Source organism: Homo sapiens, chromosome 7, assembly GCF_000001405.40.
Source record: "Homo sapiens chromosome 7, GRCh38.p14 Primary Assembly".
NCBI lineage: Eukaryota > Metazoa > Chordata > Mammalia > Primates > Hominidae > Homo > Homo sapiens.
The window spans coordinates 44,748,105-44,771,973 of record NC_000007.14 but is presented as its reverse complement, the minus strand read 5'-3'; the positions used below and the strand labels follow the sequence as shown (position 1 = coordinate 44,771,973).

The following is a 23,869-nucleotide window of genomic DNA, read 5'->3' as shown; positions in this document are numbered from 1 at the left end:
AAGAATTAGCCAGGCGTGATGGCGCGCCACCTGTAATCCCAGCTGCTCAGGAGGCTGAGCAGGAGAATCACTTGAACCCGGGAGGCGGAAGTTGCAGTGAGCTGAGATCATGCCACTGCACTCCAGCCTGGGCGACAGAGCAAGACTCCGTCTTAAAAAAAAAAAAAAAGAAAATAAACACAGACGCTTTAAGGATCAGTTAACAACAAGACACAGACTCTAATATTCACTGACATAAAGTTTCAGAAAGGGCAAAATTAATCTCTGGTGACAGGGGCCAGAACAGTGATGACCTGGGGTGGGGTGTGGGTTGGTCTCTCCTGTGAGGTTTGGAAGGGCAGGTACACACGCGTGTGCACTTACCAAAACCTACTGCACTGTGCATCCGACTGCACTGATGTCCCTGGCTTCTTTGAGGCAACTTGGGTGACAGGCCATCCTGAGCCAGTCATGTCTTGCCCTCCCACTCAGGGCAGGCAGGATGGGCTGTCTCAATGGCCCCCAAAGCCTGGAAGGCTGGAAGGGTGGCAAGGAGGAAACCCACAGTGGGTAGAGTTACAGGGGTCAGAAGTGGGGGCCACTGCCTGCTGGGGAAGGCCACTGGAGGAAGCTGGGGCAGAATGGGAGGGAAGCTGGCCCCTCACATGAATACGGGGAATTAGGAAGTGTTTTCTCCTCCACAATGTTTGGGAGAATTTGGGGATTTATGTCCATTCTTTAGCATTTGGTAGAATTCACCATCTGGTCCTGGGCTTTTCTTTTGTTGGGAAGCTTTTGATGACTGGTTCTACCTATGTGTTTTAGGTTGGTTCAGATTTTTTCCTTTTTCTTCTTTTTTTGAGGTCAGGTCTCTGTCTCTGCCTCATTCCTGGCTGGAGTGCAGTGGTGCTGTCATAGGTCGTTGCAGCTTTGAACTCCTGGGCTCTAGCTATCCTCCTGCTTCAGCCTCCCAAGTAGCTGGGGCTACAGGCACGTGCCATGACACCTGGTTGATTTCTAAAGATTTTGTCGAGGCAGGGTCTCTGTTGCCCAGGCTGGTCTCGAACTCCTGGCCTCAGGCCATCCTCCTAACTAGTTCTCCCCAAGTGCTGGGATCACAGGTGTGAGCCACTGCACCTGGCCCTGTTCAGATTTTCTATTTTTCCTGGGACAATTTTGGTCATTTGTATCTTTCTAGGAATTTTTTTGTTGTTGTTTTGAGACAGAGTCTCACTCTGTCACCCAAGCTGGAGTGCAATGGCATGATCTCAGCTCACTGCAACCTCTGCCTCCTGGGTTCAAGTGATTTTCCTGCCTCAGCCTCGTGAATAGCTGGGATTACAGGTGTGAGCCACCACGCCTGGCTAATTTTTGTGTTTTTAGTAGAGACAGGGTTTCACCACTTTGGCCAGGTTGGTCTCGAACTTCTGACCTCAGGTGATCTGCCTGCCTCGGCCTCCCAAAGTGCCGCGATTACAGGCGTGAGCCACCACACCCAGCCAAGATGTCGCATCTTTTTAAATGTTGGCATTTGCAGCTATAAATTTCCCTCAGAGCAGTTTTTGCCGCATTCCTTAAGTTCTGGTATGTTGTTTTCATCCATCTCTATTTCCTAATTTTTCTCGTGATTTCTCCTTTGACCCTTTGGCTGTTAAAAAGTGTGTTCAATTTCTATGTATGTGTGAATTTTCATTTTCCTTCTGGTATGGATTTCTGGTTTTATTCCATTGTGATTGGAGAAGGTGGTTTGCAGGATTCCGATCTCTAATTTACTGAGACTTGCTTTGTGCACTAACGTGTGGTCTGTCCTGGAGAACGTTCCCTGTGCACTTAGAAACGTGTGTTCTGCTGCTATTGGGTGGAGCACTGTTAAGTCTGGTCAGCCTTTTGGTTTTTATGTAATACTTGGCACATTCACAAGAAAATGTGTGAAACAGAAAGTACGACAAAGTGAAACCCACGAAGCCACCACTGACCCTGAGGTTCAAAACCTCCAGCATCTCTGCTCTTCCCTAAGCACAGCTCCGTCCCCTCCCCACGGGTGAGCACTGTGTTGTACTGACTCCCTGCCCTCCCTGATGACTTTAGCACCTGGGTATGAATTCCACACATATTTGGTTTTGAGCTTTATAAAAATGGCATCATACTGTATGAACTGTCTTGCTTTTTCATCCCACGTTGTTTCTGAGAGGTGTTTGTGATGGAGCACAGGGCCACGGTGCCCATGCATTCCTCAATCATTTCTCCAGTCTTCTGAGGATGGGCTTCTGGGTTGTTTGCAGCCTTTTGCTTGTCCCAGTCTCCTAGTTTCTCCACTCCATCCGGGAGCATCACGTTTGCAACAGGCAGGGCAGGTGGTGCATCAGATGTCCAGGACACAGTCATTTGACACCCAAGAAAGGAGGGCCTGGGGCCTGCATCAGGCCATGGCTGAGTGGGACTTTGCCAGGCTGTCTCCGCACCCAGCGACAGGACTGTGCGTGCTGCTGCTTCTTTTGTTTCCTCCACTTCTGTTCCCTCATCCAGAGAGGGCGGAAGAGCTGGAAACAGAGGCTTTGTCAGGGAATAAGGAAGCCCACCTGTGTGGTCCCAAATGTCGCAGGGGCAACGCTCACACCAGATACCTCCCTCCTCCTCCTCCCTGCAGCCTCTGGGCTCCCACAGACAGATGCCCTCCTCTAGTGCCTCCAGGGGCAGGCCTTGGCCGCCAGCCTGAGGATGCCCAGCGCTCCCCTCCTCCCCTAGGTTCCTGTGTTCCCCCAGTTCTTGCCTCTCCTGCTGGCTGGCTGGGAAGGCCCTCAAGGATGGGGCCCAGGACTGGAGGAAATGGTGACCCGGACCCCCACCAAGCTGGACAGGCAGATGGTAGGCAGGACACACCTCTGCAATCTCTGGGAAGTGACAAGCAGAGGCCTCCCAGGGACAAGAGCTGAGAAGGATGAGCCCCTGGCTGGGCTGGGGCTGCCAAACAACTGTCTCAGTGCCCCAGGGCAAGCCCAGATAAGGTGACATAGTGGCAAATGTCTCTCCTGGGCAAGCCTGGGATGCTTCACAAAACAGCTCTTCAGCTGAAGCCAACTTGGAAAATTCCAGGGAAAAGGAAATTTACTATGGGGCGGGAATAGCCGAGCCTTGGCTTGAAACATCCAGAGCTCAACCTGGGGCCCCAAAAGCCACTTGAAGGTCGACCTGGCCCCCAGGTCCTGCACAAGCTTTGCAGGCACAGCCCAAGCTTTAGGCAGGTCGCTGGCTTACGAGGAGAAAATAGTCCCTGGGAGCACAAAGGAGGGACTCGGCCAGGCCCACCAAGAGGGAGTCCTTTAATAGAGATCGGCACAGACAGGAGACACAACAGCCCAGGCGCCCTGCTCGCACAGGCTGGGGCCCTGAGCCAACAGATGCAGTGGCTTCCTCCTCCCCCACCTGGGTGTGGGCCCATGGGGTGGAGACAGAGAGGTGGCTTTAAAAAACACAGCTGTACTAATTCTTCACTTTCACAGAGAAGGGGAACTTGGGAGCGCAGCCCGCTAGAGAATCTTTACACAGAGCTGAATCTGAGAGCCCACCCACCCACCTCGGCCAGGCCGAAGCTCACTGTCCCCCACCCATTGGAGGTTCCTCCCTGATCTGTCTGCACATGGGAAGGAGCAGAGCGCGCAGGGAGACCGGGCTGTACAACAGGAACATGCTGGCTGGACAGCTGGCTCCCCTCTCCCAGCTGTTAGTGTTTCTACACTATGTACATTGTTGTGCTTTGTAGCTCCCCCACCCCGAGGCCTCTGCTTGAAGCTGGGGTGGGGAGAGGAACCTGACACCACACACGGCTGGGCTGCCAGAGCTCCAGGCCCCCAAGAGGCTGCCATTCAGCGAGGTTCCAAGAGCTGGACTGCTGGGCACAGGGGCCACTGGAGCCAAAGGCCCAGGGGACAGAGCCAGCCCTGCCAGATGCCCAGCTCTGCCCAGTGGAGGAGTTGTTGAAACAGAAGGATCAATGCTGGACAAGAAGCAGGCTGGGTGGGGGCAGGCAGGGGTGGAAGGACAAGGTGTGAGGCTGTGAGACCAGGGGCGTGAGATGTGTGTGTGGACAAGGCTGGACAGGGCTGGGCAGGGGCACCTCAGCAAAAACCGTTCTGCAGCAGCAGGCTTGGCAGAGGGAGGTGGCAAGGGCTGCCGGCCTGGGAGCCCCTCCCATCGAGCACAGGGCTGCTTCCAATTCAGGGGCAGGGCTGGCGGCAGAAGGCTCTGGCTCCAGGTGTGTTTTGGGGGAGGTTTGGGAAAGACCACCGGGTGTCCCATGGGGCTGGGCATGAAGGGCAGGGCTGTGGTGACATCTGTGAGCGTGTCCCCGCCGGGCTTGGGGTAAACACAGGATCAGTTGTTCTCAAACAGAGAAAGCAGGTCGTCATTGTTGTTCGTAGGGAGGTCGGGTGGGCCCAAGTAGGACAGTAGCTCATCAGGGTTGGTCAGTTCCGGGAGCAGCTGAGGACAAAGTGAACTCTGTTAGCAGCTTTGGTCACTGACTGGCCACACCTGAGTGACCATCCTGTCACCACATCCCGGCCCTGTCTCCAGGCACAGTGGGGATGCTGAGCAGCCCCTCCTCACACACAGGCCGGGTGCGGGGCCCCACCATAGGCCTGCATGTGCTCAAAGAGGCACACGCCACCCCCTGGGACCTCCCTGCAAGGTTGCTCTGGGGCCAGAACAGCTGGCAACATGCTGTTCAATACCACCAGGAAACGGGATGTGAGGGAGTGCAGCCACTCCACACTCCCTCTGTGCATCAGCCTGCGTGGGGATCCCCACCGTGATGCCCCAAGGTGAATGCTGGTGGTGGAATTCCATGCCCCTAGGATTTTCTGCTTGGAGCTGTTCTTCCTAACTTTTTCATGTTGAACTTCTAGAATGAGTTTCATGTTGAACTTCTAGAATGAGTTTCTATTATGGTCCAGGGACAGTCAGTTCTGTCCTTCATGTACTGAGTTTGCACTCCCATTCCACCTGTGAGTCAAGACCCAGGGCTACTGAGCAAATGGACAGACGAAATTTGACTCTAAGGACCGTGCTGTCAGCTTCCAGTGCAGTCTCCTCTGAGACTCTGCGTCCGCCCGTACGGCATCCAGGCCCCTCATGAACACAAATGTGGTACATCGCATCCCACCCGCAGCTACTCCAGGTATCTAATTCATGAACAAAAGCTGCATTTAGTTGACCTTATCTGACCGGCTCTCTGAGGGGTCACTGTCTTCCCTTCCAGAACGCACCTGGAACAGACACACCACCTCTAGCCCTGGCTCCCACGCACTCCCCCGCATGGGGCCTGGTACTCACGTCCAGAGCTGGTTCTGGGGCCTCCCCGGCTCCAGACATGCTGGGGGGCCCCATCACGCCTGTGGCAGGACTGAAGGCCAGTTCACCCGTAGGTCCTAAGCTCGCTTGGCCCAAGGACTGCCGGGACGCTGGGGGAGGGTTTGAATGGTGCAGCTGGGGACCTGGAGGGGCCCCAAGGTTGGAGGTGTGTAGTCCTGGTGTCCCAGGATTGTGAGTGGGGTCCAGGTGACCTGCTGGTGCCATCTGAAGACAGAGAGAAGAATTTGTTAAAACAGCTCAGGGGCTCCCCTGGGGAGACAGGGCCCCTTGGCCTCTCGGCTTGGCACTGACCTGGCTTGGGAGGCAGGCGGTAGACTTCTCTGAAGTCAGGAGGCTGCTGGGAATGTCAGACTGGTAGGAGATGGGGGGTGGTCCCGGGGTGAACTCAGCAAGGGTTGGGGTGCTGGGCGTGGTGGGTGGGAAGGACTCAGGGAAAGTTCCAGGCCCCAGGAAGCTGGAACCTGTGAGAGGAGAGTCGGGGCCTGGGTGAGGGCTGGGGAAGGCCACCGCTGGCAGAGGAGCCAGGAGGGAGGCTGGCTGTGGCATGGGTGGGACTTGCAGTGCTCACCCACAAACAACAGCGGGTTTTGCAGAAGTCGCTATTTGGAAAAGGGCATTTCTTCTCATTGCTGCCAAGGGAATTGGCCTTGGGACATTCCTAGGAGTGAAGGTCTCGGAGGTTATAGGAATGGGAGCAGCCACAAACAAACGCACCACGCGTGTGAGGTGGGTCCCAGAGGGGGGCCCCAGATGGGGCCAGTCCTGTGAGGTGTTCCAGCCAGGAGCCCCTTAATCCAAACGGGGAAGGAAGGGTGGAGGCCCCACTGTCTGTTTCCTGGGACCATAGCTGAGACTGTGCCTTCACCGCCACGTCCCTGAGATGGGAGGGGCTGGAGGTGCCCCGCGGCATGTTTTGTGTGGCAACACTGATAACCTAGGTGTGTGACCTGCATAGCCACATTCTTGCAGGTGAGGAGACTGATCTGGGGAGAGGAGCCATATGCCCAGGGTCATCTGAGGTTCAAGGCTAGCCTGCTGTACTTACCCTGGCCAGGGTAGTCGCTGGGGGCAGGGACTGAGGGGGGCTGCAGGGGGGCAAAGGGGGCAGCGCCGGGGCCCAGGGCGGCGATCATCTCCATCACGCTGGGCATGAGCACGTGGGCGGGGCTCACGGTGCGGCAGCGCTTCAGTGCTGGCCCATCCGGCTCCTCCTTGATGTGCATGTCAGGCTTCACGGGCACTGGCTTCCAGCTGCACGTGGGGTCGATGGTGATCTCCTCATAGTCAGAGCTGGGCAGGGACAGGTGGGGAATGGTTACCTCCTGGCCTGCTGCTGGCCCGGCACCCACTGCCCCTCCCAGCCCTGGGCTGTTTCCAGGCAGGTTCCCCCACTCAAATGCTTGCTTCCACCCAGCACCTTCCACATCGAGCAGGACGCTGGGCCCAGCACCAACACTCAGGTAGGACACACACGCTGTCTCTGGCCTGGAATCCAGCCTGCTCCATGCCGGAAAAAGGCTGGAAGGCTGCACTTGGCAAGGGACATCCCCCGACATGTCCTGGGGCTGCCCTCCAGTGGCCACAGATGCAGGGATCACAGGAAGAGGATGCTTACTTCTGAATGTAAATCAGGATGCCCAGCATGTACTGGTCCACCTCCAGGCCCTCCAGCAAAGCTGTCTTGCTGTGGGGAAAAAAAGGGACACAGCTCAGAGACCTTGCACAACCCTGTCCTGGGCACAGGCCCTGTCATTTCTCAGCCCTGTCAGCTGTGACCCTGCATGAGGCAATCCTGTGTGAGGCAACTGAACAAGGTAACTCTGTGTGAGCTGACCCTATGTGAGGTGACAGTACAAGGTGACCCTGTGTGACTGACCCTTGTGTGAGGTGAAAATACGAGGTGATCCTGTGCATGTGGTGACCCTGTGTGAAGTGACTCTGCACAAGGTGACTGCATGAGATGACCCTGCATAAGGCCACCCTATACGAGCTCTCTGCGCTGAGCTGCACAACCCCAGTCCATGCAGTGACTCCTCCCAGCAGGCTCGTATCTTTGATGATGCTGTTGGAGGTTTCACCCATGAAAGCCTCTAAAAGCACCAGCCCCTCCTCCATCACACGCTGCATCTGAGACTCACTTGCACACAGGACACCTCCAAGTCCCCCGCTCACAGTTGAGCTGCAGGTACGACTCCAGGTCAAAGCACTGTAGAGAGATGGGAAGAAAGTCAGTTTCTCATTGTGGGTAGCACAGGGAAAATCTGGTCACTCTGCAATCCCTTTTCAGGAATGTGTGACTTATTTACATGCATAACTGAGATACTGCATGTACCAGGTTTTCACTGCAACATCATTCTAATGGATCAAGGTTGGGAACAGCCCAAACAGCTCTCACTGAGACTGGAATGCCATGTGGCCAAAGCAAGCATCGGGCAGCTGTGCTGACTGGGACCCACTTCCAGAACATGGTATTTTTGTTTTGTTTCGAGACAAGAGTCTCGCTCTGTCACCCAGGCTGGAATGCAGTGGCTCGATCTCAGCTCATTGCAACCTCCGCCTCCCAGGTTCAAGCGATTCTCCTACCTCAGCCTCGTAAGTGGCTGGGATTACAGGCACACACCACCATGCCCCAGCTAATTTTTGTAATTTTAGTAGAGACAGGGTTTCACCATGCTGGCCAGGCTGGTCTCGAACTCCTTACCTCGATCTGCCCACCTCAGCCTCCCAAAGTGCTGGGATTACAGGTGTGAGCCACCGCGCCCAGCCTCAGAACATGGTGTTAAAAGAAGAAAAACGACAGCACAGAGCAGTTTGTGCAATAGGGACCACTATGTAACCACAGAGACAGTGGGCTGTGCATCTACTTGTTCATACCCAGAGTATTTCTGCAAAGACAGATGCTAACGATGGTCACCCTTGGGGGTAGGGCAGGAAGACTGGACCCTGCAATCTTATGCCTTTCAAAACTTGAACCCATGAATGAAGCAGGCAGTAAAAAAGTTAGTAAAATGACAATTATATTTGGAAGAAAAAATAGCCTAGTCTTGGGGGAGCCAGGCCCACCTGCCTCCTTGGCGTGGGAGGCCTGTCCTGTCAGCCTGACAGCCAAGGCACTCGGAGTTCACGTCTGTCCAGAGAATGACACTGATGTATCGACTCAAGATATTTTAGCAGCAGCAAATTCCGGCAAGACTCTGCAGTAACCACCTACCTGTATGTGGCGACAGTCATGACCTCGGGCAGGGAGCTGGATCCTGCGGAAGGTGATGGGGCACTTCAGGGACACCTTGATAGCTGTCTGCTCCACCCCGTCCTCTCCGTTGGGCCCAGGGGTGCCAGGGATGGTGCCGCTGCTGAAGTTCCGCTTTACTGACATCAACAAGGTAAAGGACTTGAGTAAAGGGTCCCCAAGATGGGGAGGTGTGAATGGGGATGCCAACGAGGCAGGGACCCAGTCACTGACCCACTGACAGCTCTGAGGGGCCACCTGGAACTAACCACTGCCCCTACTGCAGAGCCACCTGTCCAAGGAGAAGGCCTGGTGTGACACGAGGAGGTGCCCACAAGGAGGATTGTTGGGCTTGGGCCACACAGAATGGGGATGGCTGCCTGGCAGCTGAGGGGCAGGAGCCACTCACTCTTGGTGATGCAGTGCTCAGCAGGCAGGAGGCGCTTTTTGAGGAGGCCCTGCAGCACCGAGCGGACGGATGGGCGGTGCACTAGCTGCAGCACGAAGAGGTGGGACTGCAATACAACGGGAGGATGTCATCAGGGGGACTTGGGCCAGGGGCCACCCTGGCCAGGTAAAGGGTGTGCTGGGGGTTGTGTGTCAGGGGCTGCCAGGTGGGGGAGGGACAAGGCTGAGGGCAGGGTGAGCTGGGGGTGGGGATTCAGCCAACAAAACTCCTCAGTGGCTTGGCCCCATCCAGCTGCCTTTCCTGGCCTCAGCGCCCTGCCCACGCTTGTATCCATCTCTACAGCTGTGCTGGGCATCCTGCCGGTCTAACCATTGCCTAGTCACCACTTCTCCATGAAGAGAATCACCTCAAGTCCCCTTGAACGTTCCCCCTGCTCGCACATCCACAGTCACAGATGCTGGGTCTGTGTTGACATCTGCCACATCCCAGACAATGTGGTGTGTGGCCAACCCGTCCCCAAGGCCCTCATGCCCAGGCTGACTAGTGCACTCATAAGCCATGTCTTTCTTCTCTAGCCCAAGGGTGACCCTGATGCTTGCTAGAACCGGTAATGCTTGATCAGCCGGGGACTCCGAGCTCCATGAGCTTTCTGCATATCCTGGTTTCTCTTACATAATTAATGTGAGCATCAAATCTAGTCAATTTACTCTAACTGGAAAACAGCTAGGGTATATTACTGGATCGCTTTCTTAAAGGGCAAGGATGACAGATTAAAATAGAAATACAAGGCAGTAACAAAGAGAAGCAACGCATTTTTCTGAAATAATAAAGCCCCCACGTCCTGCTCTCCACCCTGCAAGGGGGCACACATGCTACAGCAGGCGGTGGACAGCAAAACAGCAGACGGCGGCATGATCTGATGGTGCTGCAGGCCGGCCCGCCCATGTCCTGGCTCCGCTCCCACTGCGCCGCTGGGCCAGGCCCCGCCCACACCCCGCCCCACCCCACGGCACCGCTGGGCCAGGCCCCACCACACCCCGCCCCACGCCACAGCACCGCCCCCTCGGCGCAGGACACGCACGCAGCAGCAGGCGGTGACGGTGATCTGGATGGTGTTGCGGCCTGGCTGGCACACATGCTTCAGGTAGAGTGGCTTGTGCGAGGTCTTGTTGTCGCCACGCTCGATGGTGAGCGGCGTGGCATTGACGCTGACCTGCACCGAGGCTGGCCAGTTGGTGTTCATCTGCCGGTCCTCGTGGTGGTAGCACTTGAATTGCAGCTCCAGGTCAGGCCTGCTCAGGAAGATGGGTGGACACCCAGAAAACGGGCCCTGAGAGTGTGGGAGGAGGAACAGAGCCTCGTGGGGGTCAGGTGGGGGCCAGGCGGAGCTCACCTCATTATCAGGGTCTTGTAGACTGAGTCTCGCAGCTGGAAGACATGGTTGCTTACAGCCAGGTTGTGCTGCAGGCGGAAGGGCTCCAGGACCACCCCATCGCGCACAGGGAAGGTCAGCCGCAACTCGTCACAAGGCCCGCTTCCTGGGAGCAGAGGCCACTGGCTGTGAGCTGGGTTGCCCCAGCCAGAGCGTCTTGTGTCACTCAAGGAGGGCAGCGGCTCCCCAGCCACCTTCCCCGCAGGGACCTTGGTGAAGGGAGCCCCTCCTGTCAGGCACTGCTTGGCAGGCCTGAGTGGTGCCCTGGGGCTGGGGCCATGGGCAGCATCTCTCCTGAGGCCTGGGCATTCGGTCGTGATGTTCTGTCTTGCCTCCTGCCTCAGCAGTCCAGCCCAGTGTCCCCTAAACCATAATAGGGGAACATGTCCCCAGCCCAGACAAAAGGTGTTTCCAGTGCTTTCAGAGAGACTGGGAGGCCAAGGTGTGTGAGAGCCTCCTGCAATTGCCCTATAGCTCTGTTTAGAGTTCTACGATCCCAACTTCTGCTGCTGTGGTCTCCCTGGAATGGGCTTCCGGGGTTCATAAATCCCCTGAAATTATATACAACATTTTGTGCACAGGGGAGAGAAGAGCCACAGCCTCCTTTGCAAAGAAAGCCACAAACAGAACAAAAAGGTGAAGGCTTGGCACTAAGCGACTTGTCTTTAAGAAGATGGAATCCTTGGCCTTTTTTTTTTTTTTTTTTAAGACAGGGTCTTGCTTTGGGACCCAGGTTGAAGTGCAGTGGCAAGATCACACTCACGGTAACCTTGAACTCTTGTGCTCAGCCTCCGAAGGTGCTGGGATTACAAGTGTGAGCCACCACACCCAGCCCTTTTCTTAGGGATATGGCAGCCATCCCCTGTCCCCCAAGCTCCTACAGGACTCTCTGGAGTCCTGTGATTCCCCCATGCCCACCCTGGCCTTGTCACCCCGCTGTCCCAAGAGTGGACAGACTTACCAGAGGGCGATGAGTGCAAGGAGTTGAGGTTGGGCTTGAGATCAGGCAAGAAGGGAGACTTGACCTCTTGGTTTGGTGACATGTAAGGGACGCTGCTGCTTGGGGTCATGGGTGGCGTGGGGTTCCCTGGCAGTGGGGAACTGGGATAGCCCGGGATGGAACGGGTAGGCTGTAGGGTTGAGCACAAACAGTCAAGGCAGATTGCCAGGGTGGATGGGAGTGGAGTCTGTTCACGGCGCACCCACTGGGAACCATGATAACAGAGGTGGACAGGAGGCGGCCCCAGGGGTGCCTGCCCGGTCGCCCTCTCTCCATATGCCCACCCTGTGAGCCTCCCGGCCCATCCTCCCGGCCAGGCCCCCTACCCCACTCAGGCCAGGTTGGCTGTAGCTGACGCTGCCCCCGTTGAAGCTGGCGCCCTGCCCGTTGAACTGCTCTGTGGGCTGCGGGAGAGAAAACTGCATGCACCTGGGGCTCCAACCTGACCCCTGCCGGGCCCCCTGGACCTGACCCTAGAAGCCCACCATACACGGTCTTCTTTACACTCTCTTGTATTTTCCAAATAATCTACAAGTAACACTACTTAAAGCAATCATAGCCACAGAGGAAAATGATCAAACAGGTTGGAGGGGCTGAAAAGACAAAAGCACGCTAAGCCCTCCTCCTCTCCTCCCCCAAGCTGCACCACCCGGCGCACCCAGGCTCCCAGGGAGGTAGGCTCTGCCCATGCACCCAGAAAGGGTACATGGCCAGCAGCGAGGGCCTGTCCTCTCAATGGATTTCTCTGCAGCAAGTAGAAGGAATGACACTTTTCCATAAAGAACATTCAAATGTTTTGGGTACCCACCTGCTGCTCCCTGCACAGGATACCCCTGAGATATATGAATCTTGTAGAGGGTCCTTTCGGAACTGGATCCCAAACCCCAGGAGCTGCTCCTGCACTGGTCAGAATGCCCCCACCCCCCACCCCCCATCTCCTGTAGAGCTGTGGTCCATGAGCACACATGGACCTACACATCCTGCTGGCCCCTTTAGCCACCCTGTCGCTCTCGAGGACAGGACTGCCCCAAGGTCCCCTGTCCCACAGCACTCAGCACGGAGCCCGGCACAGGGCCTGGAGGAGCCTGCCCTACCTTATAATGCAGTCCCGTGGGGCCAGGCACGGACAGGGACTGGGTCATGCCCTGCTGCAGGGGCAGCCTGTGCCCAGGGTAGGAAGGGGAGGGGGCAGGGGGCTGCCCAGGGCTGGGCGCAAACTGGGCGGTGCTGGGTGCATACTGGCCTCCTTGCAGATACTGCTGCCCTGGATACACCTGAAAAAGAGGCAAAATGCCCGAGGGGAGAAAAAAGGCATCAGGGGAGCTGGTTCCAGAAGGAAGTAGAGTCTCATGTGTGGCAGGGTTCGGGGAATGGAGATTTCCTGGTTCCCTTGAAGATCCTGCTGTGACACTGTCAGGCACAGGCAGTTCTCACATGCAGAAGCCTGTTTTTTTTTTTTTTTTTTTTTTTAATTTGAGACAGTCTCACTCTGTTGCCCAGGCTGAAGTGCAGTGGTGCAATCTTGGCTCACTGCAGCCTCCACCTCCTGGGTTCAAGCAATTCTCCTGCCTCAGCCTCCCAAGTAGCTGGAATTACAGGTGCACACCACCACGCCCGGCTAATTTTTTTTTTTTTTTTTTTGAGATGGAGTCTTATTCTGTCACCCAGGCTGGAGTGCAGTGGCATGATCTCAGCTCACTGCAACCTCTGCCTGCTGGGTTCAAGCAATTCTCCTGCCTCAGCCTCCCAAGTAGCTGGGACTGCAGGCGCCCGCCACCACACCCGGCTAATGCTTTTTGTATTTTTATTAGAGATGGGGTTTCACCATGCTGGCCAGGCTGGTCTTCAACTCCTGACCTCGTGATCCACCCGCCTTGGCCTCCCAAAGTGCTGAGATTACAGGCGTGAGCCACCGCGCCCGGCCTAATTTTTTCTATTATTAGTAGACATGCGGTTTCACCACATTGGCCAGGCTGGTCTTGAACTCCTGATCTCAAGTGATCCACCTGCCTCAGCCTCCCAAAGTGTTGGGATTACAGGCATGAGACAGCATGCCCGGCTTTTGCTTTTTTTTTTTTTTTTTGAAACAGGGTCTCACTCCTGTTGCCCAGCCTGAAGTGCAGGGGAGCGATCACAGCTAACTGCACCCTCAACTTTCTGGGTTCAGGCGATCCTCCCACCTCTGCCTCCCAAGTAGCTATGACTACAGCCACATGCCACCACACCAGGCTAATTTTTGTAGAGACACGGTTTCGCCATGTTGCCCAGGCTGGTCTCAAACTCCTGAGCTCAAGGGATCCACCCTCCTTGGTTTCCCAAAGTGCAGGGACTACAGGCGTGAGCCACCATGCCCAGCCAGAAGCCTGCTCTTTACCACAGCTCTAAAGAGTGCCTGGGTGAGGGAGTTGGTACCCAAGGCCCCAAACTAGGTGACCTGGACACTCACCTCAGAGTAGGTTCTCTTGACCCCCTGTCGGGGCAGTGGCTGGGCCTGGGGAGGCCCAGGATACCCATGTTGGGGCAGACGCTGCCCTGCATACAAGGGTGTCATTCCTGCTGCCCGGGTGGGGTTCATAGCCAAGGGGGAGAGGCCAGAGGGGCCCATTACCCCTCCTATGCCAGTAGGGTTCATGCCAGCGGGGACACTAGGCCCCCGGGGACCTCCATGCTGCAGAAACTGGCTGTTAAAAGACTGTCCGGCCCCCATCTAGGAAGAGAAAAAAGAAGAATGGTCCAGGTCCCACCCACAAAGGGCTCCAAAAGATAGGCATAAAACCCGCCCACCCACCCATGTGGGCACCATACCCTTTCACAGGACACCCCAGAAACCTCTCCCCTCAGACCCTCACTCCTTCCCACACATCTCTCTTTTACTGGCTTCATGAGCCCTGGCATATTCCATGCTTGTCCCTGGAGCCCACTGTCTGGCTGAGTACCTCCTCCCAGGCCCTCAGGCTGGCTGCCATGTGGGAGGAGCTGCTGAGGGGGCTCACCGCTCCATACTGGCTCAGCTCCTGGCTCTGCTTCTCCTGGAGAGCAGCCACGGTGGCTGTGGCTGTGGCGGTGGCAGTGGCTGCCGCAGCAGCCACAGCTGCAGCAGCTGCCGCTTGCGTGAAGTCAGTGGAGGGTCTTGCAGCATGTGAGGGGAGGCCCAGGCCCCCCGGGCCGCCTGCATACCTGCAGGAGACACAGGATTGCCACGCTCTCTGCGTGGGCTCATGAGGGCCAGGACTGTGCTCACCCCAGAGGCATGCAGCACCCAGGGGGAGCCCATTCTTTCTAGACCCTCCACTACAGCTGTCAGGAAGCAGAGAGGGAACGTCCAGCTGATCAGCGCCACAGTTCTGAGGTGCCTGCCAGATTGATGGCTCCTAGCATACCTGCCAGGTGAGGGAACTTGCTTACCCGGTGGTGAAGCCGGGGGCCCCAGGGTAGCCCCCGCGGCTGTACACGCCTTGCTGCACGTAGCCCTTGTTGGCGCCGCCTTCAGCAAACGCCTGCTGTCCCAGGCACTGTGGGGAGGTCAAGGCGGAGCTGCCCCCTGCCACACCAGGCATCATGGAGCTGCCAGAGGGACTCCCTGCAGGGCCCATGGGGTTCCCCAAAACCTATGAGGAAGCAGGAATCACCAAAGGGAACCAGCCAAACAACGTGCTTCATGCAGCAGCTCCAAAGTGCTAGAAACCAACAGGCCTGGCAAGTGGGTTGGGGGAGAGGTGGGGGGGACAGGGTATAGCACGGGAAGCAGGGAAAGCAGCTGTCCACAGGGAGGTTGGGGCATTTTGTGAAGGCTAGGTGAAGACAGGAGAAGAAAATCCCACAGCAGGTGTGGAAAGAGAACCAGTGTCCAAAGACTTAGGGGACTCAGGAGGCCCCATCCTCATATGTCATGCCTCAGCCTCTCTGTCCTCACCTCTCAGCCTCTTCGTCTCTCAGAGCTCTGAGGAGGCACTAAGCACTGCCAAGTGCTGGGAGGCTCTGTCTGCTCGGGGGTGGGGCACCAGTGGGTGCTTACCTGGCTCTGTGTCGCGTTGCCAACTCCCCACACAGTAGTGACCACAGACAGCGATCCAGCCGGCTGAGTGGCGCTTTGTTGCCAAGGCACAGACTCATATGCGAATGAACCATCACTGCAGGGAAAGAGGCTGCTGAGGCCTGGGTCAGGAAGCCACTGGTGTCCAAGAGTCTAGGATCTTCCAGAAATGCCACCCCCAACCCCAGGGCCTGAGGGGTGGGCAGAGGAGCCCACACTCACCCGTGTGGCGCAGGGGGCAGGGCAGGTTTCATGGGGTTCATGGAGTTCATTGGCAATGGAGCAGCCTACAGGCCGGGTCTGACAGTTTTTATCTGGAACTCAGCTGCTCTGGCTGCCCGACAGGAAGGAAGGGATGTTAGCTGCGATGCAGCCAGGAGACCCTTTCAGCAGGGTGGAGGGACCCCGGTGCCAGCAGGCCCCACCTCTTTCTCAATAAGGGACCCCTGGGCTCTGATGGCAGGCAAGGCAGTGGAGGGGCCTAGTACTGACCCACCCCACTCACTCTGGTGAGGATCTGCCCCCACAAATACAGCCTGGAGGCCAGCATGAACCCTTTCTGACCAGGCCCTGCCACCCAGAGTCCCTGGATCAGCCCTAGAGATGGACTTCCCGATTCCAAATACTTTCCCCACTCTCCCGCCCACACCGAGGCCTGGCTATCCTTATAAAGCCAGGGACAATCCTAGCTACCCCGTGGAAACTGGGGTTTAGAGAGGAGCCAGTAGCCAGTAACCCCACAGAAGGCCCTGGGGTGAAGGACAGAGGGCAGTGGAGGTGAGGGGACTCCCTGCTAAAGGTCTTGTCTACCCTGAGTAGCCCAGGTAGGGGCATAGGCGGTTCTGGAGGCCAGGGGCTGAGAAAGCCGAGGAGGAGAGTGCAGGGGTGCGGTGATCACAGGAGTGCAGTGGTCAACCAACAACTCTCCATCCTGGCCTTGGGGAGGGACATGCAGGATACCTCCTGAAATGGGGTGTGGGGCCAGTAACCTGGGCTCTGGCTAGCAGCCCCTCCCAACAAGAAGGCCCTCTTTAGGGTAGTAGAAGGGCTCCAGGCCAGGGCACCTCAGAACTGACCCAGATTCCACCAAGTGGGGGCTGCCCGAGGCTGATATGGTCCTAGGGGCCAGGCAGGCAGACCCACTGGCCCATCCATGACACCCCCAGGAGAGGGCAGGGACACACAGCACAATAGATGGAGGGTGGGCACCCACAGACCTGGCAGGGACTGTGACTTGGCCAGTGTTTCTAAGAAAGGGGCTGGGGAGACATTGAAGTGACTCTGCAAGATGGGGCTGAGTGGATACCAGTGACCTGGTGCTCAGGACAGGGCAGCAGAGGGGGTGTGTCAGGGAGGACGCATGCAGGACCACAGTGCTGGCACCATGGGACTTACATGTGCCACGCTAAGTTTGCTCTCCCCATTTAGTAAATAAGCCACGGAAGTGACCACACCTTCAGGCTGCTTCTGAGTGCCACGCCTTCCGACACTGCCACAAGCAAGCCCCTTACCAAAGCAGGCCCAGACATGCCCTGGAGCCCTGCCCCTGAGTGTCCCTGAAGGGCCCTCACTGGCACTACCCTGGGTTCTGACACTCCCAGGACCACCTGACATGTCCACCTCTGCCTGCCTAGGCTATCCACAGAGGAACACTGGCTGCAGCACAGGAGAGGCCGCTTCAGCTGTTTCTCAGGAGTCCCCAGGCATGCTCGCCTTGGATACTACTCCCTTTTAGGGCCTACAAGGCTGCCACACACACAGACATGCCACCTGAGGCGTGCTGACCACTGGTGCCATCCTGCCATCGCAGCACTCACATGGCCTCTCCCTGCCCCAGGAGAGGGTGGCCCCGCATTCATCTAGGCTGCCATTTCTTGTGCTGACCGAGGGCCTCACCAATGGAGGTAGGAACAGCCTCACCCCTCAAAATATAGACCTGGAGATTCTGAGGGCGAGCTGTGTGCCCAGGGCCCCAGAGCAGGTGAGAAGTAGAGCTGAGCTCTGCCTGGGGAGTCTAAGCATGTGGCCTTTCACTGGATCTTCCCATCACCGAGCACTGGGACTGGGGGGTACCAATTAGGGAAGAGGGAGAGGGCAGTGTTCTGGACTTCCTCACACCCTCAGGGGAGGCAAGACTTGATTCCCAGCCCATAGGCTCCTCCCCTTGCTCCCCCAGACCAAGTCCTGCCCAGGAAGCAGGGGTGAAGAAAACCAGGGGCTGATGGCTCCAGAAGGCTCCAGGCACCTGGACTCTAGGCAAGAACAGGCCTGGGAGCTGAGATGGCCCAGCCAGGCAAGGTAGGGGTGGCAATCCCAGTCCCATAGCCTGACTCAGGAATAGTGATGTTGGGGGACAGAGGAACCTGCCAACAGCCAGAAACTCCTCCCCAGAACTGCTGGGTGGGGCCTTGAGCAGCCATACACAGATTTTAGGACTTAGAATATAGATATGGTAATCAAAACTGTGTGGTACCAACATGGGAACAGAACCATGGGCCAACAGGCGAGACCAGAGAATCTGAAATTGATTTGCACAAATAGGCCCAAACAATGTCTGACAAAGGTGCGAGAGCAATTCAAAGGAGGAAGGACAGCCTTTCCAACCAATGGTGCTGGGACAATGGAGCAACTGGGCATCAAAACAACAAACAAAAAACACCTAAACTTCACACCTTATACAGAAAGTAACTCAAAATGGTTTATAGATTTAACTGTAAAACATAAATCTATAAAATATTCAGGAAAATATATAGGAGAAAATCTTTGTGATCTAGGCCAAAGAGCTCTTAGACCTGATACCAAAGGCATGATCCATAAAAGAAAAAAACTGATAAACTGGACTTCATCAAAATTAAAATTTTTCCTTCGGGAAAGGCCCTGCTAAGAGGATGAAAAGATAAGTTACAGGCCAGGAGAAATATTTGCAAGCTGCATATCCAACAAAGGACTAGTATCTAGAACATATAAAGAATTCTCAGCCAGGCACAGTGGCTCACACTTATAATCCCAGCACTTTGGGAGGCCGAGGCAGGAGGACTGCTTGAGCCCAGGAGTTCAAGATCAGTCTGGGCAACAGAGTGAGACCCCCGACTCCTCAAGAAATTTAAAAATTAGCTGGGCGTGGTGGCATGCACCTGTGGTCCCAGCTTTTCAGGAGGCTGCAGTGGAGGGATCACTTGACCCCAGAAGGTGGAGGCTGGGGTGAGACATGATCATGCCACTGTACTCTAGCCTGGATGACAGAGTGAACCATGATTTAAAAAACAAAACAAAACAAAAAAAGAATTCTCAAAACTAAAAAAAAAAAAAATTAAAATTAAAAACTCCAATTAGAAAATAAGCAAAAAACATAAAGAGACACTTTGCCAAAGAGAATATACAGATGGCAAATAAGCATAAGAAAAGATGCTCAGCATCACTAGTCAGTGGGGAAATGCAAATTAAAACCACAGTGAGATATCACTATACATCCATCAGAATGGCTAAAATAAAAAATAGTGACATCACTAAATGCTGGCAAGGAGAAACTGGATCTCTCACACATTACTAGTGGGAATGTAAAATGTACAGCCACTCTGGGAAACAGTCTGGCCGTATCATATGGAACTAAGCAAGCAGCTACCCTACTATGACCCAGCAACTGCACTTGTACGCATTTATCTCAGAGAAATGAAAACTTATGTTCACATAAAAACCTGTACACAAATGTTTATAACTGCTTTATTTGCAAGAGCTATGGAATGGAAACAGCCCAGATGTCCTTCAATGGATGAAGAGTTAAATCAACGGTGGTACATCCATAGCCCGGATGCAATATAAAGGAATGAACTACTGATATATGCAACAACCTGGATGAATCTCCAGAGAATTAATGCTCGGTGGAAAAAGCCAATCCCAAGAGGCTACACGGTGTACGATTCCTTTATTTAGCATTCTTGACACACCAAAATTAGGGAAATGGAGAACAGATTGGTGATTGCCAGGGGTTAAATGTGGGGGTAAAGAGAAAGGTACTAATCTCTTCTCCATTTCTGTAATTTTGGCAGGAGGAAGGTGGGCGTGAATATAAGAAGGCAACAGGCTGGGCACGGTGGCTCACGCCTGTAATCCCAGCACTTTGGGAGGCTGAAGTGGGCAGATCATTTGAGGTCAGGAGTTCGAGACCAGCCTGGCCAACATGGTGAAACCCCAACTCTACTAAAAACATAAGAATTAGCTGGGCAAAAACTAACCGGGCGTAGTGGTGGGCGCCTGTAATCCCAGCTACTCAGGAGGCTGAGGCAGGAGAATCATTTGAACCCAGGAGGTGGAGGTTGCAGTGAGCCGATCGCACCATTGCACTCCAGCCTGGGCAGCAAGAGTGAAACTCCATCTCAAAAAAAAAAAATAGAAGGCAACAGGCTGTAACCTCTTTACTGTATCAGTGTAGTGTCCTGGTGCAATGTTGTACTAGTTTTCCAAGATGTTACCATTGGGGCAAACTGGGTAAAGGACAGAATAAATCTCTCTGTGTCATTTCTTATAATGCACATGAATCTTTAATTTTTTTTTTTTCTTTTTGAGATGGAATCTTGCTCTTTCACCGAGGCTGGAGTGCAGTGGCACGATCTAGGCTCACTGCAACCTCCACCTCCCAGGTTCAAGCGATTCTCCTGCCTCAGCCTCCTGAGTAACTGGACTACAGGTGTACACCACCATAGTCCATGCCTGGCTAATTTTTGTATTTTTAGTGGAGATGAAGTTTCGCCATGTTGGCCAGGCTGGTCTTGAACTCTTGACCTCAAGTGATCCACCCACCTCGGCCTCCCAAAGTGCTGGGATTAGAGGTGAGCACCACTGTGTCCAGCCAATAATTTCAAAATAAAAAGTTTAATTACAATACAACTGCTACCACCAGCCTTCTGTCTCCGCAGAACTGCTGTGACAATCTTTCCCCACTAGAAAGCTGGTTGGGTTGGCTGGCCACTTTGCTGTCCCAAGAACAGAGAGGGAATCTGGCAGGCAAGCAGATGTGCCCCCTCCCCCGCCCGTGGTCAAAGGCCTCAAAGTGCAGGCAGCACTCTGTGCAGCACTGCCTCATTTTAGGTCACCTAGGGCAGCAGCTCCCCAACTGCAGCACATCAAAACCAGCTCGCAGCTGGTGATGACAGGCTGCCCAGCCCCACCTGAAGTCAGTAGGATGGGCTGGGGCCTAAGCCCAGAATTTCTAACAAGTTTGCAGCTACTGCTGCTGCTGGTCCAGGAACTGTAGTTTGAGAACCTCAGATCTAGGAAATGCAGTGAGCTGGGGAGAAGGAGCACAGGGCAGGTACAAGGAGGGGAGGAGCCCACAGCAGGCTCCTATGTCACATGAGCCTGGGGAATTCCACCCCTGATGGTTCTCTGCTGTGGACAGAGACCACAAAGATTTCCAGTTCCCTCTGAGCTTACTCTTCACTGCACAGGGGGATTTCCTGCCGACCCGAACTCATGCCTCTGGTCTCCTCTCTGAGGACAGTCTCTCTGAAAAGACTTCCAGTCTCCAGGTCTGGTATCCTTGACCCTGTGCCCCTGATGATAGGATAGTGTTCTGCGTTGTGTGTGTGCAGATCCTCTTCTCATCTCCTGGCTTTGAGTCTGGGTTGGGAACAAGCCTGGAGCCTGGAATCTGGATCCCAGATCATGCAAGGCCCATGCCCACCAAGGGTCTTAGTGCCTGGCGCTTTCCTTGTAAACTAACTCCAGCTGGAAGCTAGGACCCCTTGAGAGATGGACAAGGTCAGTCTAGAGGGCCACAAGGCTTTCTCGGGGGTCAGATCACATCTTCCTCTAGACAGAGTTACAGAACTCACTACCCCAGACCTCTCTTCCCCAAATGTCCCAGAGTAGCTGCACCCCCAAGTCTCCTGGTTGACCTCCTGAGCCTTGTTCCATGCCACCTCTCTGCCTGCCTAGTCAGCTAGGAGCAGGACCAGCAAGTGGGCCCTGTGGCAGGCAACGCTTCTCAATAGGTCACACATCAGGACTCACTGTCTCCAAGATTGCAGGGTCAGGATCCAACCCAGGTGACAATGGAGTCAAAGGGTATTGAAGAAATGATGGCTGTGGAATGTTGCAGGAGCGGGGTCCTTGGTAGCAAAAAGTGGGGTACTCACATATACAGGTAGCTGAAAGTCCTGCCCCCTCTACCTGTAAGGCCACAGTACTAAAATGTCTAAGCGTGGGGCTAAGTCAGGATGCAGAGTTCATCAAAAAGTCCAGGAATAAGCAATGGCCCAGGCATGAGACATTTCAGTGAACAGCTGAAGGGACAACCTTAACCTGGCATCAGTTTACAATGTGTAAGATGGATATCTGGTAGCATCCTAGGACTGAGGACACATGACCACCTTCATGTCATCAGCCCTTGGGAGCTCAATCCCAATAATCAGGATGCTCCCCAAACATCTTAGGCCTGTCCTTCAGAAATCTACAACCGGCAACTGTCACCTGCTTGTTCTCTTCATTTACACTTCCAGCTTGTAACTATCCCCTGGGCATGACAAGGGCTAGAGGTCAGTACCTCTGGAAGTTAAGATTCCTTCACTTCTCCTGTTTCCACACTAAGCATCAAGGGATGCCCTCTGGTTCTAGCTTGCCAGAACTTGGTGGTGAGTCTGTGTCCATCCTATCCGTAATCACCACGGTCTCAGACCAAGTCACATGTTCCGTGTGTGTCCCTGTGAAATCTGCGATGACACAAATTAAAGACACCACCATGGATGTTCTGTAATACTGGAAAGAGGGTACCCTAGGGAGAAGGAGAGGCAGAACACTGCAGGGCAGAGGGTCCAGGGAATGGGAGGAGAGACACGGTAGGTGGAGGGGTAAACAAGGCACCGGGTGGGGGTGCCGCGGTGAAGGACACCTGGCACTAGGGAAGACAAGGCACCTCAGGGGAGCAGGGCATCCTCACGCCTGAGCTTCAGTATGTCCAGTTTGGAAAGGGGTGTCCCCATCAAAACTGGCAGCTGGGGGCTGGCCGCTCAGCGTCGTTCAGCCCAGGAGCGGAACAGCTCCTCCGCGAGCAGGTGACGGCCTCAGACGGCCCCCACATCGCCGTGCTGGTGGGCACGTAAGTAGGAGCGGAGGGGCGTACCATGTAGGTGAGACTGCCTGGCCCCAAAGCTAGGAACGATCAGGTTGGAGCGAAGGCCCGGCCAGCCTTCATCGCTCAGGAGAACCCCGAGCGCCGCTTACACCCCTCGGCCAGCCTCCAACAAAGACTCAGGGGAGGGCTGGATGACCCTGACGCCCACGGGGCCGAGCCTGCCCAAGACCACGACGCACGCGTGGCAGGTGCCGGCAGGTGGGCGGCAGAGCCTCTAGCCCCAGCCCAGCTGTGAACCCTACCGTGGCGCCGCAGCGGAACCGGGGCGCCCCGGGCGACCAGCTACACCTGCCTGCCCGCCCGCACCTGCCGGCCCGCACCTGCCGCACCTGCCTGCCCCCGCCGGCCCACACCTGCCTGCTGGCGGCGTTGCCAGGGGCCACCCCCAGGACCCCGCTCACCTCCGCCCGGCCTGGCCCGGCCCCTCGCCGTGGCGGCCCCCGGCCCGCGCCGCTCCATGCGCTCAGCCCGCCCTCCGCGCCGCCCGCCGCCCCGGGGCCGCCGCCACCCGCGCCATCGCGCCGCCGCCCGCTCCGAGGGCACAATGGAGCCGCCGCCGCGCCGCTCATGCATATGCATGACGCCGCGCAGCCGGCCCCGCCTCCCAGGCCAGAGCAGCAGAGCCCCGAGCCGGCGCTCGGGGCGGGGGCGGCCGCGAGCCCGAGCGGCCCAAAGCGGCAGGGTGGGGCCAGGGCCGCAGGTGGCTGGGCGGGCAGGAGACGCAGCCTGATCGCGACCTGCGCCCCCAGCCCCCTCCACACCTTTCTGAACGCGGCGTCGGCAGAGCCACTGCGCTCTTCCTGCTCGCAGTCCGCCGGGAGCGGGGCGGGGCCGGGCGGCGGAGGCGGGGCCAGGACGCCGGGGCGGGGCCGAGTGGAAGGCGGGGCCAAGGTGCCGGGGCGGGGTCGGGAGGAGGAGGCGGATCCAGAGAGCCGGGGTGGGGCCAGGGCTCGGGGCGGGCCCCGGCGGAGGAGGAAAGGAAGAGTGAGTCCTTGCCCTTCCCCCACCCGCCCCGCCCGCGCCCCGCCCGCGCCCCCCCTGCTTCCTGGGAGTCCATTGCTCTGGCCCGGCGGGCGGGGACACGACTGGGAGACAGAGAGACCCAGGGTGCCACTTTTGGGAGGGGATCTTATTAAAGGACTCCGGAAGCCCCTCGTTAAAGCAGAAAACTAAACTTAACAAGTTCGCTGTCCTCACTGCTCAGTTCTCTCTTCCCAGTGGTTCTCCTTCTGGAAAAAGTCACTATTGAGCTAGTCTAGCCTGATGGAATAGCCTCTCTGATCAGTTT

At 56.1% G+C, this 23,869-nt stretch overlaps 1 protein-coding gene across 28 annotated transcripts, besides 7 other annotated features; it reads right to left on the bottom strand.

The window, feature by feature from the left end:
- Positions 1-2,092: 2,092 nt before the first annotated feature.
- On the bottom strand, positions 2,093-23,403 carry ZMIZ2 (zinc finger MIZ-type containing 2). 28 transcript variants are annotated; one of them, XM_047420896.1, is made up of 21 exons: positions 23,343-23,403; positions 21,994-22,159; positions 20,883-21,002; positions 15,675-15,786; positions 15,435-15,549; positions 14,825-15,027; positions 14,413-14,596; positions 13,866-14,126; positions 12,514-12,693; positions 11,746-11,823; positions 11,381-11,549; positions 10,381-10,525; positions 10,069-10,279; positions 8,988-9,093; positions 8,561-8,718; positions 7,488-7,555; positions 6,965-7,033; positions 6,395-6,639; positions 5,641-5,810; positions 5,311-5,553; positions 2,093-4,458 (listed from the first exon to the last, which is right to left on the bottom strand). In XM_047420896.1, exons 4-21 carry the CDS (start codon positions 15,722-15,724, stop codon positions 4,351-4,353), a joined length of 2,763 nt encoding a protein of 920 aa, XP_047276852.1. In that variant the 5' UTR covers positions 15,725-15,786; positions 20,883-21,002; positions 21,994-22,159; positions 23,343-23,403; the 3' UTR covers positions 2,093-4,350. The 28 variants fall into 28 exon arrangements, with proteins under 28 accessions (XP_047276852.1, XP_047276848.1, XP_047276849.1 ...); XM_047420892.1 differs by lacking the exon at positions 23,343-23,403 and adding an exon at positions 22,983-23,127 and having other exon boundaries at positions 10,381-10,552; positions 20,883-21,068; XM_047420893.1 differs by lacking the exon at positions 23,343-23,403 and adding an exon at positions 22,983-23,127 and having other exon boundaries at positions 10,381-10,552.
- Positions 3,464-3,990: an enhancer, noted in NCBI's record as "H3K4me1 hESC enhancer chr7:44807583-44808109 (GRCh37/hg19 assembly coordinates)". NCBI's record gives its function as "activates a minimal SCP1, AML or CMV promoter by ChIP-STARR-seq in primed H9 embryonic stem cells {active_cell/tissue: H9 hESC(primed)}" and the evidence as "EXISTENCE:reporter gene assay evidence [ECO:0000049][PMID:30033119]".
- Positions 3,490-3,629: an enhancer, noted in NCBI's record as "active region_25955". NCBI's record gives its function as "activates an Ori minimal core promoter by ATAC-STARR-seq in GM12878 lymphoblastoid cells {active_cell/tissue: GM12878}" and the evidence as "EXISTENCE:reporter gene assay evidence [ECO:0000049][PMID:35858748]".
- Positions 16,619-17,300: an enhancer, noted in NCBI's record as "H3K27ac-H3K4me1 hESC enhancer chr7:44794273-44794954 (GRCh37/hg19 assembly coordinates)". NCBI's record gives its function as "activates a minimal SCP1, AML or CMV promoter by ChIP-STARR-seq in naive and primed H9 embryonic stem cells {active_cell/tissue: H9 hESC(naive and primed)}" and the evidence as "EXISTENCE:reporter gene assay evidence [ECO:0000049][PMID:30033119]".
- Positions 20,573-21,042: an enhancer, noted in NCBI's record as "active region_25954". NCBI's record gives its function as "activates an Ori minimal core promoter by ATAC-STARR-seq in GM12878 lymphoblastoid cells {active_cell/tissue: GM12878}" and the evidence as "EXISTENCE:reporter gene assay evidence [ECO:0000049][PMID:35858748]".
- Positions 22,823-22,872: a silencer, noted in NCBI's record as "silent region_18151". NCBI's record gives its function as "represses an Ori minimal core promoter by ATAC-STARR-seq in GM12878 lymphoblastoid cells {active_cell/tissue: GM12878}" and the evidence as "EXISTENCE:reporter gene assay evidence [ECO:0000049][PMID:35858748]".
- Positions 22,883-22,992: a silencer, noted in NCBI's record as "silent region_18150". NCBI's record gives its function as "represses an Ori minimal core promoter by ATAC-STARR-seq in GM12878 lymphoblastoid cells {active_cell/tissue: GM12878}" and the evidence as "EXISTENCE:reporter gene assay evidence [ECO:0000049][PMID:35858748]".
- Positions 23,103-23,632: a silencer, noted in NCBI's record as "silent region_18149". NCBI's record gives its function as "represses an Ori minimal core promoter by ATAC-STARR-seq in GM12878 lymphoblastoid cells {active_cell/tissue: GM12878}" and the evidence as "EXISTENCE:reporter gene assay evidence [ECO:0000049][PMID:35858748]".

What these genes read in the sequence shown, in the direction of transcription:
- ZMIZ2 (XM_047420891.1), bottom strand. Translation starts at nt 15,724, where the DNA reads ATGAACTCCATGAACCCCATGAAACCTGCCCTGCCCCCTGCGCCACAC. An exon ending in TGAGCACTGCATCACCAAGA is followed by an intron (nt 8,719 to 8,987) that starts GTGAGTGGCTCC and finishes TGTTGATGTCAG; the next exon opens with TAAAGCGGAACTTCAGCAGC. An exon ending in ATCCTGATTTACATTCAGAA is followed by an intron (nt 6,640 to 6,964) that starts GTAAGCATCCTC and finishes GTCCCTGCCCAG; the next exon opens with CTCTGACTATGAGGAGATCA.